At 41.3% G+C, this 16,378-nt stretch overlaps 1 protein-coding gene across 6 annotated transcripts in view, besides 6 other annotated features; it reads right to left on the minus strand.

Annotated features, from left to right (window-relative positions):
• Positions 1–13,731, minus strand: part of RAPGEF6 (Rap guanine nucleotide exchange factor 6) — a 211,309-nt gene extending 197,578 nt beyond the window's left edge. For all 6 annotated transcript variants that reach the window (NM_016340.6, NM_001164388.2, NM_001164386.2 and 3 more), the window contains exon 1: positions 13,464–13,731. In NM_016340.6, coding sequence (NP_057424.3) covers positions 13,464–13,532 — 69 coding nt within the window. In that variant the 5' untranslated portion in view covers positions 13,533–13,731. The remainder of the gene's footprint in view (positions 1–13,463) is intronic.
• Positions 12,921–13,503: an enhancer, noted in NCBI's record as "NANOG-H3K27ac-H3K4me1 hESC enhancer chr5:130970112-130970694 (GRCh37/hg19 assembly coordinates)". NCBI's record gives its function as "activates a minimal SCP1, AML or CMV promoter by ChIP-STARR-seq in primed H9 embryonic stem cells {active_cell/tissue: H9 hESC(primed)}" and the evidence as "EXISTENCE:reporter gene assay evidence [ECO:0000049][PMID:30033119]".
• Positions 12,921–13,540: a biological region, named in NCBI's record as "NANOG-H3K27ac-H3K4me1 hESC enhancer GRCh37_chr5:130970112-130970694".
• Positions 13,451–13,540: an enhancer, noted in NCBI's record as "active region_23056". NCBI's record gives its function as "activates an Ori minimal core promoter by ATAC-STARR-seq in GM12878 lymphoblastoid cells {active_cell/tissue: GM12878}" and the evidence as "EXISTENCE:reporter gene assay evidence [ECO:0000049][PMID:35858748]".
• Positions 13,633–14,832: an enhancer, noted in NCBI's record as "BRD4-independent group 4 enhancer chr5:130970824-130972023 (GRCh37/hg19 assembly coordinates)". NCBI's record gives its function as "activates an origin of replication core promoter dependent on BRD2, P300/CBP, MED14 and CDK7 cofactors, and independent of BRD4, by STARR-seq in HCT116 cells {active_cell/tissue: HCT116}" and the evidence as "EXISTENCE:reporter gene assay evidence [ECO:0000049][PMID:35650434]".
• Positions 13,841–14,090: an enhancer, noted in NCBI's record as "active region_23057". NCBI's record gives its function as "activates an Ori minimal core promoter by ATAC-STARR-seq in GM12878 lymphoblastoid cells {active_cell/tissue: GM12878}" and the evidence as "EXISTENCE:reporter gene assay evidence [ECO:0000049][PMID:35858748]".
• Positions 14,101–14,300: an enhancer, noted in NCBI's record as "active region_23058". NCBI's record gives its function as "activates an Ori minimal core promoter by ATAC-STARR-seq in GM12878 lymphoblastoid cells {active_cell/tissue: GM12878}" and the evidence as "EXISTENCE:reporter gene assay evidence [ECO:0000049][PMID:35858748]".

The following is a 16,378-nucleotide window of genomic DNA, read 5'->3' on the forward strand; positions in this document are numbered from 1 at the left end:
CTCAAACTCCTGGGCTCAAGCAGCCAGGAGTTTGAGGATCCACTTCAGCCCCCAATGTTTTGGGATTACAGGCACGAGCCACCACACCTGGCCCTTGTATGCTTTAAATCATTACTCTAGATTATTTATTAATACCTAATACAGTGGAAATGCTATGTAAAGAGTTGCTATACTGTATTGTTTAGGGAATACTAGCAAGAAAAATGTCTGTACCTGTTCAGCACAGGCACAACGATCATGGGCCTAACTTATTTTCCAATCTCGGTTGGTTGAATCCACAAATGCAAAACTCACAGATATGGAGGGCCAACTGTATCCTAAACTCATCAGGGTTCCCTTTTCTAAAACAACTTGAACAGCACCTGCCTACCCTTTGCTCTTCTCCCCCAAAGGCCTTCCTACAAACTTCTGAGCACCTGATATTTATAATTATCACAGTATTTAATTAGGCCATATTTTAATTGTCCATGTGTTTTGCTATCTCCTCCCCAGATGGAAGAACTATCTTTAATCTTTTATCCCTGGCACATGAAACAGTGCTTACTTAATATTTACCGCACAAATGTTCATTAGGCAATCTCCCTCAAAAAAATTATGTATTCACCTGTGCCTCAGAGAGTCATTTAATAATCCTATAAATAATCCAAACTCCACACCAGGCACTTGTGACACTCATAAACTCTTTCCTAAAAAAAAAAGAGGATGGTAACCTATTTTAGTTTGGCTTCTTAACTTGAGAAAAGCTGCAGTCATTTGGAAGTTTAGACACTTAAGATTTTGATTCTGAGAGATTGAGGAATTTCCCTCAGAATTCTCCAAAGGGAAGAAGGAGGCAGGCATGATGAGCCTGACTACACGACAAAAATCTTGGTCTTTGCAAGGGACAGACTGACTGTGAACTCTATAACACTGTGTTTATCATTTGACTTTACCTTGGACCAGCCTAGGTAAACTAAGGTCTGGCTGTAAATAAAAACAGAATGAGCAATTTTATTAAAATAGTGGAGAATGTGTCTCACCTTTGGCATGTAATGCCAAACATGCGTTGCTTATGCCTCAAACATGTGTTGCTTATGCCTCCACAATCTAAAGTTTTTAATAAAATCGCTCATTCTATAGTCAAGCTCATCGAGTTGGGAATCTCCAACACACGTAAAATGATGGGCCTGGAAAAGATGTTCATCCAGATAATCCAGGTCTCATCCAGATCTAACATTCCCCTTCTATCCAACTGGATTTACAAATGAAGGTCAAGGGGCCCCAGAAGTATAAATAAGTTCTTTTTCTTTCCAAGGAACCCTCTGAATGTGCATCTGCTGTGGGAAAGCACAACAGAATCTTTGTTCTGCCAACCAGGGATGTGCACAGTGACTCACTCCAAAAATGACTCCAAGTACAATGGTGCTCTCTCGCCAATTCAGAAAAAAACTCTGCAAGTGTACATTTGAAGACCATTTTTCTAAATTCTGTAACAGATTAATAAATGGTTATACTAAATTTTACATTTTTTAAATTCCCAGCTCCTTCTTTAACTTTTTAATAACCAAAAATACCTAGTTCTAAAACAAAACAAAACAAAACAAAAAAACTTCTTCTAAGTAGGCAATTACGTTAACACCTAGCAGAGCATGAAAATTTGCCCAGACGTTTTGAATCATCTGGTGAAAGAACATAAACAGTTAAAATGGGCATTAATCTATATTTTTCTGTGATGTTCCCTGCAAATGTGTTTTGAAGCCATGCAGAAAAGGAATCTTTCTTTCAAGATATTACTAAGTTTCCTCCATCTGAATTGTCTCTCAAGAACTGCCAAGTAAAACACTGTTTATGGCAACTCTACTTTATTCTTAATGAGAATAGTAATAGCACATTTTGCCATTTTGCCAAACTTCATCAAGCCTTTTTATCTGAACACTTTAAATATTAGACCAGTAGAAATCACTACTAGAATAGTAAAGGAACAGTATTTTTCACATTGCTTTTTTTTTTTTTTTTTTTTTGTGAGACAGAGTTTCACTCTTGTTGCCCAGGCTGGAGTGCACAATGGTACAATCTTGGCTCACCGCAACCTCCGCCTCTAGGGTTCAAGCGACTCTTCTGCCTCGGCCTCCCAAGTAGATGGGATTACAGGCATGCACCACCACGCCCGGCTAATTTTGTATTTTTAGTACAGAGGAGGTTTCTCCATGTCGGTCAGGCTGGTTTCGAACTCCTGACCTCAGGGGATCTGCCCGCCTCGGCCTCCCAAAGTGCTGGGATTACAGGCGTGAGCCACTGCGCCCGGCCTTGATTTTCTTTTTAAAGTCACTTACTCTACAAATATTTAGATATCTACTATGTACCAAGTACTGTGTAATGAACACTGGGAGATAAGGGTACACTCACTGTCTTCAAGGAGCTTACAATCAGAGAGAAATATGCAAGTAATCATAACACAGCACAGTAATTACTACGGTGGAAGAAGGCGCAAAGTATCTAGGAACACAGAGGAGTGGAAAAGTGAGGAAGGAAGGATGCACAATTCTGCAAATGAGCACTAGAGCTTTCAGTGAAGAATCAGAATGTACCAGGCCAGAGGATGGTTTTCCAGACAGAGAAAATAGTCAGCTAATATGTAGGCTATCATTTACTGTTTATTATCAAGATACTTTGCTAATTATTTCACATATATTATCTCATTTGGTCCACACAAGAATCCCAAAAAGATATTCAATCCTAGAGAAGTTAGATAACTTGCCTATGGTCAAATTCTCAGAACTGGAGTCCAGATTTGAAGTAGGCTTGTCCAAATGCAAAATTCAAAGGCCAGTGACACCGTTACCATACTGTTCCCATCCTATGCAATGCACAGAAACAGAAGAGATTTTAGTGTCAGGATATAAAGGATAGATAATCAGATGACTAGCAAGGAAAGCCCCAAGAGAGGAGGTTAAAAGTCCAATACAAAGGCAAAATGCAAAGAACCAAGGTAGCTTCATAGTCCTCTTGGCTGCCAGAAAGAATACTTACAATGAGCTGGGCATGGTGGTATACACCTGTACTCCCAGCTACTTGGGAAAATTGCTTGAGCCCAGGGGCTGGAGGCCAACCTGGGCAACACAGCAAGACCTTGTCTTTAAAAACAAAACAAACAAACAAACAAACAAACAAAAACACTCCACTCAAATTAAGTTCAAAGGCACAAAGAAAAAAATCTGCAATGACAGAACCAGAAGAGTGGTTTCCTTTGGGAGACTGAGAAGGAAAAAGGGGAAATTTCTGGAGTGCTGGTAATATTCTTTATCTGTATTCTGTATCATGATACACACAGTAAAATATGTTTGTAAAAATTAATCTGGCAATGGCTGGGCGCAGTTGCTCACGCCTGTAATCCCAGCACTTTGGGAGGTCGAGGCGGGCAGATCACTTGAGGTCGGGAGTTCGAGACCAGCCTGACCAACAAGGAGAAACCCCGTCTCTACTAAAAATACAAAAAGTAGCCGGGCATGGGTGCAGTGGCTCACACCTGTAATCCCAGCACTTTGGGAGGCCGAGGCGGGCAGATCATGAGGTCAGCAGTTCGAGACCAGCCTGGCCAACATGGTGTAACTCTGTCTCTACTAAAAATACAAAAATCAGCCAGGTGTGGTAGCAGGCATCTGTAATCCCAGCTACTTGGGATGCTGAGGCAGGAGAATCCCTTGAACCCGGGAGGCAGAGGTTGCGGTGAGCTGAGATTGTGCCACTGCACTCCAGCCTGGGAGACAAGAGAGAAACTCCGTCTCAAAAAACAAACAAACAAACAAAACAAATTAATCATCTGCCAATGTATATTTAGGGCATATGGACTTTATGTTTTATAGTTCATTTCAAAGTTTTTCAAAAAAGTCTGGGGGAGGAGGAGAAATTATCTTTCCAACCAGTGACCAGGTTGGGCCAATTCTACCTCCTTAATACCTCACTATCCCACTTAACTGCTGCCACCACTGGGTCCAGGACCTTATCTCACACCTGAACTACTGTATTTGTTTCTAACAACAAAACATACTTCTTGGTGGCTGGGCACGGTGGCTCACACCTGTAATCCCAGCATTTTGGGAGGCCGAGGTGGGTGGATCACGAGGTCGGGAGATCGAGACCATCCTGGCTAACATGGTGAAACCCCGTCTCTACTAAAAATACAAAAAAATTAGCCAGGCATGGTGGCGAGCGGCAGTAGTCCCAGCTACTCGGGAGGCTGAGACAAGAGAATTGTGTGAACCCGGGAGGTGGAGCTTGCAGTCAGCCGAGATAGCGCCACTGCGCTCCAGCCTGGGTGACAGAGACTCCGTCTCAAAAAAAAAAAAAAAACCATACTTCTTGGTTTCCATATTATCTTAGTATAATCACTAGTAGTCTTACCTTTCACATGGAAAATATCCCAGTTTGGATAAAATACATGTCCAGTCTACCTGTATACCTATAAGCCTCCCTGTCTCTAGTCTGCTCCTCCCCACTCAATTACATCTCCAAAATGCTCACATAGTAGTCTTTATAAAACTGATCTTATTTCCAGGCTTTAAACCCTGCAACGGTTCTTTCTCCTTTATTTATAAGATGGAGTCCAAATTTCTGAAATTATCCAAACCCTGCTAGTACGTCCAGCTTCATCATTAAACATCTCACATCATGTACCATCATCCCCAAACATCCTAGACATTAGCCCCAGTGTTCTGCAACCTTTTTTTCATTTTCATCCCCTCCCAAAGAACCTTTCAGACAATTTTTCGTAAGCACTGCCCCATCTCTAATTAAATACTAAAGAATAAGACACTGTCAGTTTAGGGCTGAGTTTTAGAGGGCCACAAACCATACCAATAGCTGTGATTTTTTTTCCCACTCCCATAAAAGGCAATTTTTGCATCTTTGGGAGCGATATCACTTCCAACGGGAATGCCTGCTCTAGACTTACAGATTGGCTTCTTATTCTACAAGTATACATGGCTTGCCATCATCAGTACTTTTGCTCCTGCCTCTCTGCTTGGAATGACCTCTCTTGATCATCCAGAAATCAATTCATGACATTTAACACTGGGAATTCAATGCTCCCCCATGAAGCTTGTTCCCTTCCCCATCTTGCAATCCCAAAGCCCTACTCATACCTTTGTCACTAATAACTAAAACATTTATTACATTTATGTTTTCTTATGTCTCCCAAGTCATTGATGAATAGGGACCATGTCTAACTCCTCTCTACAACCTTGGTTTTTAATATATCAGATATATTATTTCTTAAATGAATGTACAAATTAATGTTATCATCTGGGTGAGGTAACCATATCTCAGTTTAAGCGGGACAGTCCCTCTTTAACCTGTTACTCTGAAATAAATATTAACAGCTTCTCTTTTAATTCACAAAAATGATTTGAACAACATATTGTTAATCTATACCTAGGAAATATAGGAAATAAAATTCTGAGCAAGAGTAGAACATAATCAGATCTGAGAGGAAGATCACTCTAGCAGCAAGACTCAATGACTCAAGCAATAATTTGGGGGTAGAAACAATAAAACAGACTGAATTAGAGTAGTAAAACTTGTAAGAAAAGGGCAAATAAAAAGATTCAGGGGACAAAGTTTAGTGGCAAGTTGCATCTATGAGGAATGAAGAGAAATAATACAAATTCCTAGAGACAGCAACTCGGCCAGCTGCCAACAGATTATGAAGGAAGAGGAATAATGATGGCTCAATTTAGGACAAGTGGTTGAAGAACCTGGAGGACAAGATGGTTGATATATGAAGCTGAAGCACATAAAATTTAGGGGATAAGTTGGAAAACATAATCCTAGGAGGCATTAGCCTATAACAACTAACTGAAACCAAGCTGCTGAGTAAGACTGTCCAAGAAACAAAAAGTTAGCAGTTCCAATGAATACGAAGTGCTACCTTTTTAACATATGATGACTTTACAAAATGTATTTCCAAATTTTGGCTTGTAAAATATTTATTCATCATTTAATATGTGCAAATCATGGCATTAAGCACTGAGAGGGAAATAAACATTAAGGGAAATATAAGGAGTTCATTCTGAAGTAAAAAAAGGAACGTTATAAAGAATGGTATTAAATGTGGATTGAGCTGAGAAACAGCCAAGTTCAAGGTCTAATTATGACTGTGGCTTCTTTAAGGAATTCTGGCATAATGACGCAAAGAAGTACAGGCATACTCTGTTTTATTGTGCTTGGCTGGTATTGTGGGGTTGTTTTCTTTTTTTTTAAATACAAATTGAAGGTTCATGACAACCCTGCATCAAGCAAGTCCAACAGCACCATTTTTTTCAACAGCACATGCTCACTTCATGTCTCCGTGTCACATTTTGGTAATTCTCACAACATTTCAAACTTTTTCATTATATTTGCTATGGTGGCCTGTGATCAGCAATCTTTCATGTTACTACTGTAATTGTTTTGGGGCACCACAAACTGTGCCCATGTAAGATGGCAAACGTAACTGATGTATGTGTTCCAACTGTTCCACTGGCTGTTCCACCTTCTCTATCTCCCTCTCTTGGGGCCTCCCTATTCCCTGAGACATAACAATACGGAAATTAGGCCAATTAATAACCCTACAATGGCCCCTAAGTGTTCAAGTGAAAAGAGTCACCTATCTCTCACTTTAAATCAAAAGCTAGAAATGATTAAACTTAGGAAGGCTAACAACGGCCCAAAGCCAGGCCTCTTGCACCACACAGTTAGCCATGTTGTGAATGCAAAGAAAAGGCACATGGAGAAAATTAAAAGTGCTACTTTAGTGAACAAAAAAATGATTTAAAAAAAAAAAGTGAAAAAGTCTTATTGCTGATATGGAGAAAGTTTGAGTGGTCTAGATAAACCATCAAACCAGCCACAACAGTCCCTTAAGCCAAAACCTAATCCACAGCAAGGCCCTAACTTTTCAATTCTAAAAAGGTTGAGAGATGAGATGGCTGCAGAAGAAAAGTTTGAAGCTGGTGGAAGTTGGTTCATGAAGTTTACGAAAAAAAGCCACCTCCACTAACATAAAAAGTAAGTTATCCTGAAGATCTAGCTAAGATAATTAATGAAGGTGGCTACACTAAAAATCAGATTTTTAATGTAGACAAAACAGCCTTATATCAGAAGAAGATGCCACCTAAGACTTCCATAACTAGAGAGGAGAAATCAATGCCTGGCTTCAAAGCTTCAAAGGACAGGCTGACTCCTGTTAGAGGATAATGCAGCTGGTGACTTTAAGTTGAAGCCAATGATCATTTACCATTCTGAAAACCCTAAGGCCCTTAAGAATTATGTTAAATCTATTCTGCCTGTGCTCAGTAAATAAACAACAAAGCCTAAATGACAGCACGTTTGTTTACAGTATGGGTTAATGAATATTTTAAGTCCACTGATGAGACCCACTGCTCAGAAAAAAAGATTCATTTCAAAATACTACTACTCACTGACAATGCATCTTGTCACTCAAGAGCTCAGATGGAGGTACACAAGGAGATTAGTGATTTTTTTCAGGCCTGCTAATACAACATCCATTCTGTGGCCCATGGATCAAGGAAAAGTTTCAACCTTCAAGTCTTGTTATTTAAGAAACACATTTCATAAAGCTACAGCTGACATAGACAGTGATTCCCTAACAGATCTGTGAAAAGAAAATTGAAAACTGTCTTGAAATGATTCATCATTCCAGATGCCATTAAAACCATCTGTGGGCCAGGCATGGTGACTCACGCCTGTAATCCCAACACTTTGGGAGGCTGAGGTGGGAGGATCACTTGAGCCTAGGAGTTCAAGACCAGTCCAGGCAATGTATTGAGACTATCACTTAAAAGAAAAAAAAAATTGTGAAGCATGGGAGGAGGTCAAAATATCAACACTAACAGGAGTTTGAAAGAGGTTGAATCCAACCTTTATGAATGACTTTGAAGGGTACAACACTTCAGTGAAGGAAGCAACTGCATGTGTGGTAGAAATAGCAAGAGAACTAGAATTAGAAATAGAGCCTGGGCTGGCTCCCAGCACTTTGGGAGGCTAAGGTGGGAGGATTGCTTGGGCCCAGGAGTTCAAGATCAACCTGGGCAACATAGCAAGGCCTCGTCTCTACAAAAAAAAAAAAAAAATCAGCCACGCATGATGGCATGCACCTGTAGTACCAGCTACTCAGGAGGCTGAGGTGGGGTCACTTGAGCCTGGGAAGTAGAGGCTGCAGTGGGCTGTGATTACGCCACTGCACTCCAACCTGGGCAACAGAATGAGATCTTGTCTCAAAGAAAAAGAAAAAAAAAAAAAAGGAAAGAAAAAAAAAAGAAATGAAGATGGAGCCTGAAGGTGTGACTAAATTGCTGCAATCTCATGATAAAACTTGAGTAGATGAGAAGCTGCCTCTTATGCATTAGTAAAAAAAGTGGTTTCTTGAGACAACCTGCTCCTGGTGAAGATGATGTACATATTGTTCAAATGACAACAAAGAATTTAGAATACCACATAAGCTTAAGCTTAGTTGATAAAGCAGCAGCAGAATTTGGGAGGACTGACACCAATTTTGAAAGAAGTTACTGTAGGTAAAATGCTATCAAACAGCATCACATGCTAAAGAGAAATCTTTCATGAAAGAAAGTCAATTGATGTGGCAAACTTCATTGTCTTATTTTAAGAAACTGTCACAGCCACCCCAATCTTCGGCAACTACCACCCTGATTGGTCAGCAGCAGCTATCAACACTAAGGCAAGACCCTCCACCAGCTAAAAGATGACAACTAGCTGAAGGCTCAGATGACTGGTTAGTATTTTTTAGCAATAAAGTATTTTTAAATTAAGGCATATATCTTTTTTTAGACATAAGGCTATCACACACAATAAACTACTATATGTGTAAACAACTTTTATGTGCACTAGGAAATAAAATTCACGTGACTCACTTTATTGGGATATTGGCTTTACTGCAGTAGTCTGGAACCAAACCTGCAGTATCTGGGAGGTATGTCTGTACCTTAACAGTTTTTGTTGTTTTAGTGCACTTAATTGTCCATGGAGTATTTAAGTCTGAAATTTTCCATAAGAATATCTTTGCAAATTGAGAAAGAACTAGCTCAGGAAAGACAATGTTCTGTGGAAGCTGAATCTATAAGTAGGAGAAATCTCTCACACACACACTGTGTTAGAAAGATATCTAAATGGCACACTTTACAACATGTGTCTGTACTTGATGTCTGGCTCACTAGGATTATGCCTGAGTTGATAGTTTCACCTAAGGACGACAGATGGTTCAAAATAAAGGAACCATTCATTTTGTCCCAGAAACACAAGGAGTTCTTTACTCATTATTTACTCATCAATTACACGATGCAAACAAATGATTTCAACATACTAATTCTCATCCCTTTGTATATTTTTCACAACGCTTTGCACCCAGTAGGTATTCAAGGAAAAATAAGCCAAACAAATAATTTTATCCCCTTCTATTTTACAGCTTATTAATTTGGCTTCTAGGGCACCACCACTCTCTCGGTTTTTCTCCTACTGCACTGTTTGCTTCCACTCATTCTCCTTTGCTGATTTCTACTCTTCTCCCCGACCTTATACTGATCTCATGTCCCATGGTACTCACTGTCCTTGGTCCTCTTCTATTCTCTACGTACACTCACTACTTGGTAATTTTACCCAGTCTCATGACTTTCAATATCTATAAACTGATGACTATAAAATTGTTATCTCCAGCTCAGGCTTCTTAGTAATACAAATTTGTATATGCAACCTCTTACTCATTTCTAACAGACATTTCAAACTTGACATGTTCAAAACTGAATTTCTGATCTTGCCCCTAAAACCTACTCCTCCTGCAGCTTTTCCCATCTCGCTGATGGCAGCTCAAACCTCTCTGACAATAACTCCAACACTCCAGTTATTTAGGCCAAAAACCTTGAAGTCATGCTTGATTCTTCTCTTTTCCTCAAGGTCCACATCTGATCTATTAGCAAATCCTGTTGGCTAACCCTACAAAATATTTCTAAAACTTAACCACTTCTCACCACTTCCATTACTATCACTATCACTTTAGTCAGAGTGACCATCATCTCTAACCTGATTTTATGCAATAACAGCCGTTAACCTCCTGCTTTTGCCCTTAAACACCTACAGTCTATTCTCAACACAGCAGCCAGGAGACTACCCAGTAAGGTAGTCAGGTGTAGTGGCACATGCCTGTAGTTCCAGCTACTTGGGAGGTTGAAGCAGGAGAATCTGTTGAGCCCAGAAATTAGTGACCAGACTGGGCAATATAGTGAGACCCTCTTTAAAAACAAAAAGGTAGGCCAGGCGTGGTGGCTCACGCCTGTAATCCCAGCACTTTGGGAGGCCAAGGCGGGCAGATCACGAGGACAAGAGATTGAGGCCATCCTGGCTAACACGGTGAAACCCCATCTCTACTAAAAACACAAAAAATTAGCCGGGCGTGTTGGCACACACCTGTAGTCCCAGCTACTCAGGAGGCTGAGGCAGGAGAATCGCTTGATCTCAGGTGGCAGAGATTGCAGTGAGCCCAGACTGCACCACTGCACTCCAGCCTGGGTGACAGAGCAAGACTCTGTCTCAAAAAAAAAAAAAAAAAAAAAGGTTAAGTAGGTCAATATCACTCCTCTGCTTCAAAATCTTTCAGTGCTCCCCCTCACTGAAAAGTCAAATAGGATGTGCCCTATGCTATGCATCATTATCTCCACTCCTCCTTCATCTCTTACTACTCTCACACCTGTTCACCCTTCTCCAGTCACACAAAGCTGCTTGCTATTTCTGGAATGCATCAAAACATGCTCTCAACATAGGGCCTTTGCAACGATTGCTCCCTTTGCTGGGAAAGCACTTTCTCCATATACCCCTATAGTTAATGCCATCACATGCATCAAGTCTTTGATCAAAAATCATCTTCTCAACCAAGTTAAACGAACCACCTTATTTAAACTGCAACCCAGCCCTTGCCCCTTGCTTTCAATCCCTCTTACTCTGCTCTTTTCTTTTCTAGCAATTATAAGCTACATATTATGTAACTTACCTTTTAGTATATTCATTATCTGCCTTCCCCACTCTTCATGCTATCAGAATGTAAGTCTTACTAGGGCAGACCTGCTTTGTTTATGGATACAACATAGTGCACAGACTAGTGCCTTCAGCTGCTAGACTCCCAATAAGCAACTATAGAGCTAATATATTCATAATAGACCCTTGGGAGTCCAGTAAAAGGACCTTCTGAAAACAGAAATGAACTTGGGAGAATTTTGTCAAATTATTTATCACAAACAAATCATCACTAGGATTCAGATTTCCTTCTTCATACTTCTTTACCCCAAACAAATTCTACACTCATTCAAAAGCACTACCAATGCATCAGTTAACCTCTTATGCTGCTAGATGTCAGGGCTACATTCTGTGTACTGTGGGCAGCTGTTTAGCATTCCCTTGAACAATGCTTCTGTTCCAATTAAGCACAATAAAGTACTTAACACAGCACACAGTGGCCAACATAACTTTATGAACAGTTTAGAAAATTTCCTAAGGCTCAAAAATAGGCAATTTCAGCCAGGCGCGGGGCTCACACCTATAATCCCAGCACTTTGGGAGGCCGAGGCGAGCGGATCATGATGTCAGGAGTTCAAGACAAGCCTGGCCAACATGGTGAAATCCCGTCTCTACTAAAAATACAAAAATTAGCTGGGCATAGTGGCGTGTGCCTGTAATCTCAGCTACTCGGGAGGGTGAGGCAGAACTACTTGAACCGGGACCCAGGAGGCGGAGGTTGCAGTGAGCAGAGATCGTGCCACTGCACTCCAGCCTGGGCTATAGAGGGAGACTTTGTCTCAAAAAAAATAAAATAGGCAATTTCAAAATAAATAATTCTGCTGTTAAAGAGCAGTAGGATTTTTCCATTAAAATGTGAATTTAGTAGCACAAGTAATGTTGAAAATTAAAAGCAGCCGGGCAACTTGGCTCACACCTGTAATTCCAGCACTTTGGGAGGCCAACGCGGGCAGATCACTTGAGGTCATGAGTTTGAGACCACCCTGGGCAATATGGTGCAACCCCGTCTCTACTAAAAATACAAAAAATTAGCCGGGCGTGGTGGCGCCTGCCTGTAATCCCAGCTACTCCGGAGGCTGAGGCAGAAAAATCGCTTGAACCCGGGAGGTAAAGGTTGTAGTGAGCCAATATCGCGCCATTGCACTCCAGCCTGGGTGACAGAGTGAGACTGTTTCAAATAAAAAATAAAATAACATTAAATTAAATTAAATTGAAACCTGCAATACACATCGTAAGCCTTGTATAATACTTTCCAATGCTATAAAGGCTGTAAGATAATTCGCCTACTGAAATTCATAAATCAGCTCACATTGACTTCAAGAATCATCATAAGGAAACAAACACTCATCGAATTATAAATGTATATCTCAAAAAGAGAACTCTGGAAAGTGGTAGAATTTGTGTTGTTCCTATGCAAACATCAGGATCTTCAATAACATAATTTGACCTATCATGGCTTCCGTTGTGACCTGAATAATTGTCACGACCCAAAAGGTCAGCCCAACGTTACTGAGACTCAGTATGCAAAACACTACATATCTGAAAAACTCCAAAGTGAAGAATTAACCAAAGCATTTCATTTCATTTACTGCAACTTTAAACAAAACAATCCAATAATCCACTCACACTGTTTAGTGTTTTGTTTAGAAAATATGTCCCACTTGTTATAGAAACCTCCAAATCAAGGAAAACCTTCCCCAAAACCTTAGCATTCTACCGGGATAAGCAAAGCTAACAGGTTTTAGTTATATGCCTGAAAACTAGCCTTCATGAAGGTCGAATGAAAAATCTTTTAAGCTGATGCCATAACTGTTAACTCGACACAGCAAATTTTGGATCCAAGTACAAAATACTGTAAAATTTCCCAGTGACAGTCTGAAAAAGTACCTACAGTGGTGTTCTTTAAACATGCATCATCTACTACAGAATTCACCATTTGACTGGATGTAAACTTTTAAACTAACTTTGAAAACTTTATCTTTTTTTTAGGCAACTGTACAATATTTCAGAGACCTTTAAAGAAAAACTATTTCTAAATTACATGGCTGAGATACTTCCCTTACAATTTCCATCTCGTTTTTCATAGTCTACTTAAACGAATGGGCATCTAACTGCGAAACTCATATTACCCAACTCAGAAAATACGACTTAGTAATGGTGCTTTCTTAACGACACTCAGAAGCCCCCGGCAAGGACGGGTACGCGGGTTAAGACCGCATCACAGGCAGGAAGGGCGGTCGGCACCCTGCTGGCGACAAGGGCCTGGGTCAGGGAAGAGACTCAAGCGAACAGATTCCCAGTAGCAGGTGCGAGACTCTGGCAAGAGGGCAGTCGCCGCGGATTTCGGACAGACAGGAGGATGCTGTCTACTGGACTGTGAGACGCACATAAAGGTCAACCAGCCTCACCTCGGGAGTCCGCTCGGGTGGCTTCTTCCTCAACGCCTGCCTAGCGCCAGGGTCCACGGGTGAGTTCATGGCCACGGCCCGGGTACTCCGCAGCCTGCCCTTAGCAGCCCACGCCACAGTTCATTCACACTAGGTAGCGGGTGCGGTACCTTTCCCCCGCCCCAAGGAGGGAACTTCGCGCCGTAACAAGGTCCGAACTCTAGCAAACAACCCTTCGCAACGCCCGCCTAAGGCCTCTACCCACGCGCGACTGGCCGGAGACAAGTCTGCGCGGGGGCGGGGGAGAGTAAGTGCGCATGCGCAGCACGCACGCGCACGCTAAGAAACGCCCAAGGGAGTAACTCCACTGTGACGTTAAAATTGGGGCGGTGCGAGTAAGTCGTTTCCTGCTGTCGTCGTGAGATTTAAAGACACCTCGCGAGACCTCACCTAAATCAGTCACGGGGTCTGCCTTGGCGTTGTGGTTCCGTCTTCTCCATCCGTTGGAGACACCGGAAACGCGCTGAGGACCTGAGCAAAAATAGCATTTTGGGGCAGAACCGTGGGGAGGCGTTCTGACTGGAGAGAACTGTTGTGCCCAAATCCGGAAGCCCAGGGTGTGGCCAAGTCCGGCTTTGCGCTCTCCTCTGCAACTTCTACTGCCGACTTTGAATATGCGGAAGTAGAAGCCGCCATTCGGCAAAGAAGGAATTCCACGCACACCTCATATCTCTTTAAATAAAACGAGATCTCTTGTGAAAGCTGCCGACAGAGAAGTGCTTGATCTATTCGAAACGGACGTCCTGAGACCAGGGCAGAGAAAGCAAACATTCACGGCCAGGATAGGCAGCCGGTGCCGCGGCCAGCTCACGATTACCTTTGAGTCAAAAAACTAGATTTAGACTGCGTTCTTGTAACTAAATGCCCGGGGCAGCCCTCCCTCAGGCAACTGCGTTTAGGGTTGGGACTCGAGTGGCAACTTTTGCAATACTTTTTACATTCTAGTCTGCTTCCCAACAGACCGAATAAAGCCAGTTTTGTTTCACTGCTCCCTTGGTAAGAAAAACAGACCACCCTTAGGAGCAGCCAGAGAGCTGCTGAGGCCGTTTCAACAATAAGCTCACTGACAATTCCAGAATCCATCGTTCTAGGATACTCCTTACCCTTTCTCATAAGTTCATAGGTAACTAACTTTGGCGACACCACCTTTCCACTGAATTTTAAGCTCCTTGATGGCTGTAACTACATCTAGGTACACCTTGGTATTTCTCACAGCAGTTAGCATAGTTCACTAAATAACAAGGTGATTTATGATTATGACATGCTTTCCAATTAATGACTGCTTCACAGTAATTTTAATGACGTAATAAGAGTTAAAATTATATTTGAAAACAATGAGAGTTCAGGCTACAACACCGTTTCTGGGACCGGCAATGACTTAAGGACTGTTTTCTGTTGGTCCTGGGGCTTGCCCAAACTGGGAGTTTACAACATACTATTAGCATTTCTCTTTTTCAGGTATAGATCAAAAACTTTACCAGCGAAGTGTGGCATAGCCATTGTAGAAATAAAGTAATTGTGGAAAAAATCACAGGATGTTGCAGACGATCCGTTTTCCTCATTTTTTGTACAAATATAACCTCTCAAAGATCTGCCCAGGATCACAAACAAAAGTTAACCCTTCCATTCTTCAAGGATCAATTTTCAGAGTCACATCAATATTTTGAAAGAGGGAGAAAGAACTATAAAGCATGATCACCATGAACTTGAACTTTAGGGGCAAACAGACCTAGAATTTGTGTCTCTAATATTAGACCTCTTCTAGTTAAGTGACTTGAAGTTATTTAACATCTCTGAACTTCATTTTCCTTATGTTAAATGGGAATATAGTAAAGGACCTATTGCTTCAGAATTTTCTTAAGATTACGCGAGAAAATTCACATGAAGCACTTAGTATGTTGCCTTCATTTTCCTTATGTTAAATGGGAATATAGTAAAGGACCTATTGTTTCAGAATTTTCTTAAGATTAAGTGAGAAAATTCACATGAAGCACTTAGTATGTCACATGAAGCACTTAGTAAGATTACGTGAGAAAACTCACGTGAAGCACTTAAGCACTTAGTATGAAGCACTTAGTATGAGAAAATTCACATGAAGCACTTAGTATGCTGCACAATCCGAGCACTCCTTATTATTTCCATTATTTTGCCTCTAGGAAGTGATTTTTTTTTTTTTTTTTTTTGAGACGGAGTTTTTCTCTTGTTGCCCAGGCTGGAGAGCAATGGCGCGACCTCGGCTCACTGCAATGTCCCTTGAACTACTCGGGAGTTCAAGGGATTCTCCTGTCTCAGCCTCCTGAGTAGCTGGGATTACAGGCGCCCGCCACCACGCCCGGCTAATTTTTGTATTTTTAGTAGAAATGGGGTTTCACCATATTGGCCAGGCTGGTCTTGAACTCCTGACCTCAAGTGATCCACTCAATTTGGCCTCCCAAAGTGCTGGGATTATAGGCGTGAGCCCCCGCTCCCGGCCTGGGAAGTGATTCCTCTAAAGTAGAAATTCAACTTTGAATAATTGAATAGATTTTTTTAATACAGTTTTTTTTCACTTATAACAATTCAGAAACACATTTAAGTATTTGTGAAGATGTGGAGCAAGAGGAACTCAAACTGCTGGTTAAGTGCAAGTTGGGAAGTCACTTTTGGCAAAAAAAAAAAAAAAAAGTAATAAAGTTGAAACATAACACACCTTATGACAGCAAGTCCTTTCTTTGATATATGCCCTATAGCAGCAGTCCCCAACGTTTTATGGCACCAGGGACTGGTTTTGTGAAAGACAAATTCTCTATAGGGGTTAGGGGGAGGGTTTCAGTATGGAACTGTTCCAACTCACATCATCAGGCATTATTAGATTCTCATAAGGAGCATGCAGCCTA

Source organism: Homo sapiens, chromosome 5, assembly GCF_000001405.40.
Source record: "Homo sapiens chromosome 5, GRCh38.p14 Primary Assembly".
Lineage (NCBI taxonomy): Eukaryota > Metazoa > Chordata > Mammalia > Primates > Hominidae > Homo > Homo sapiens.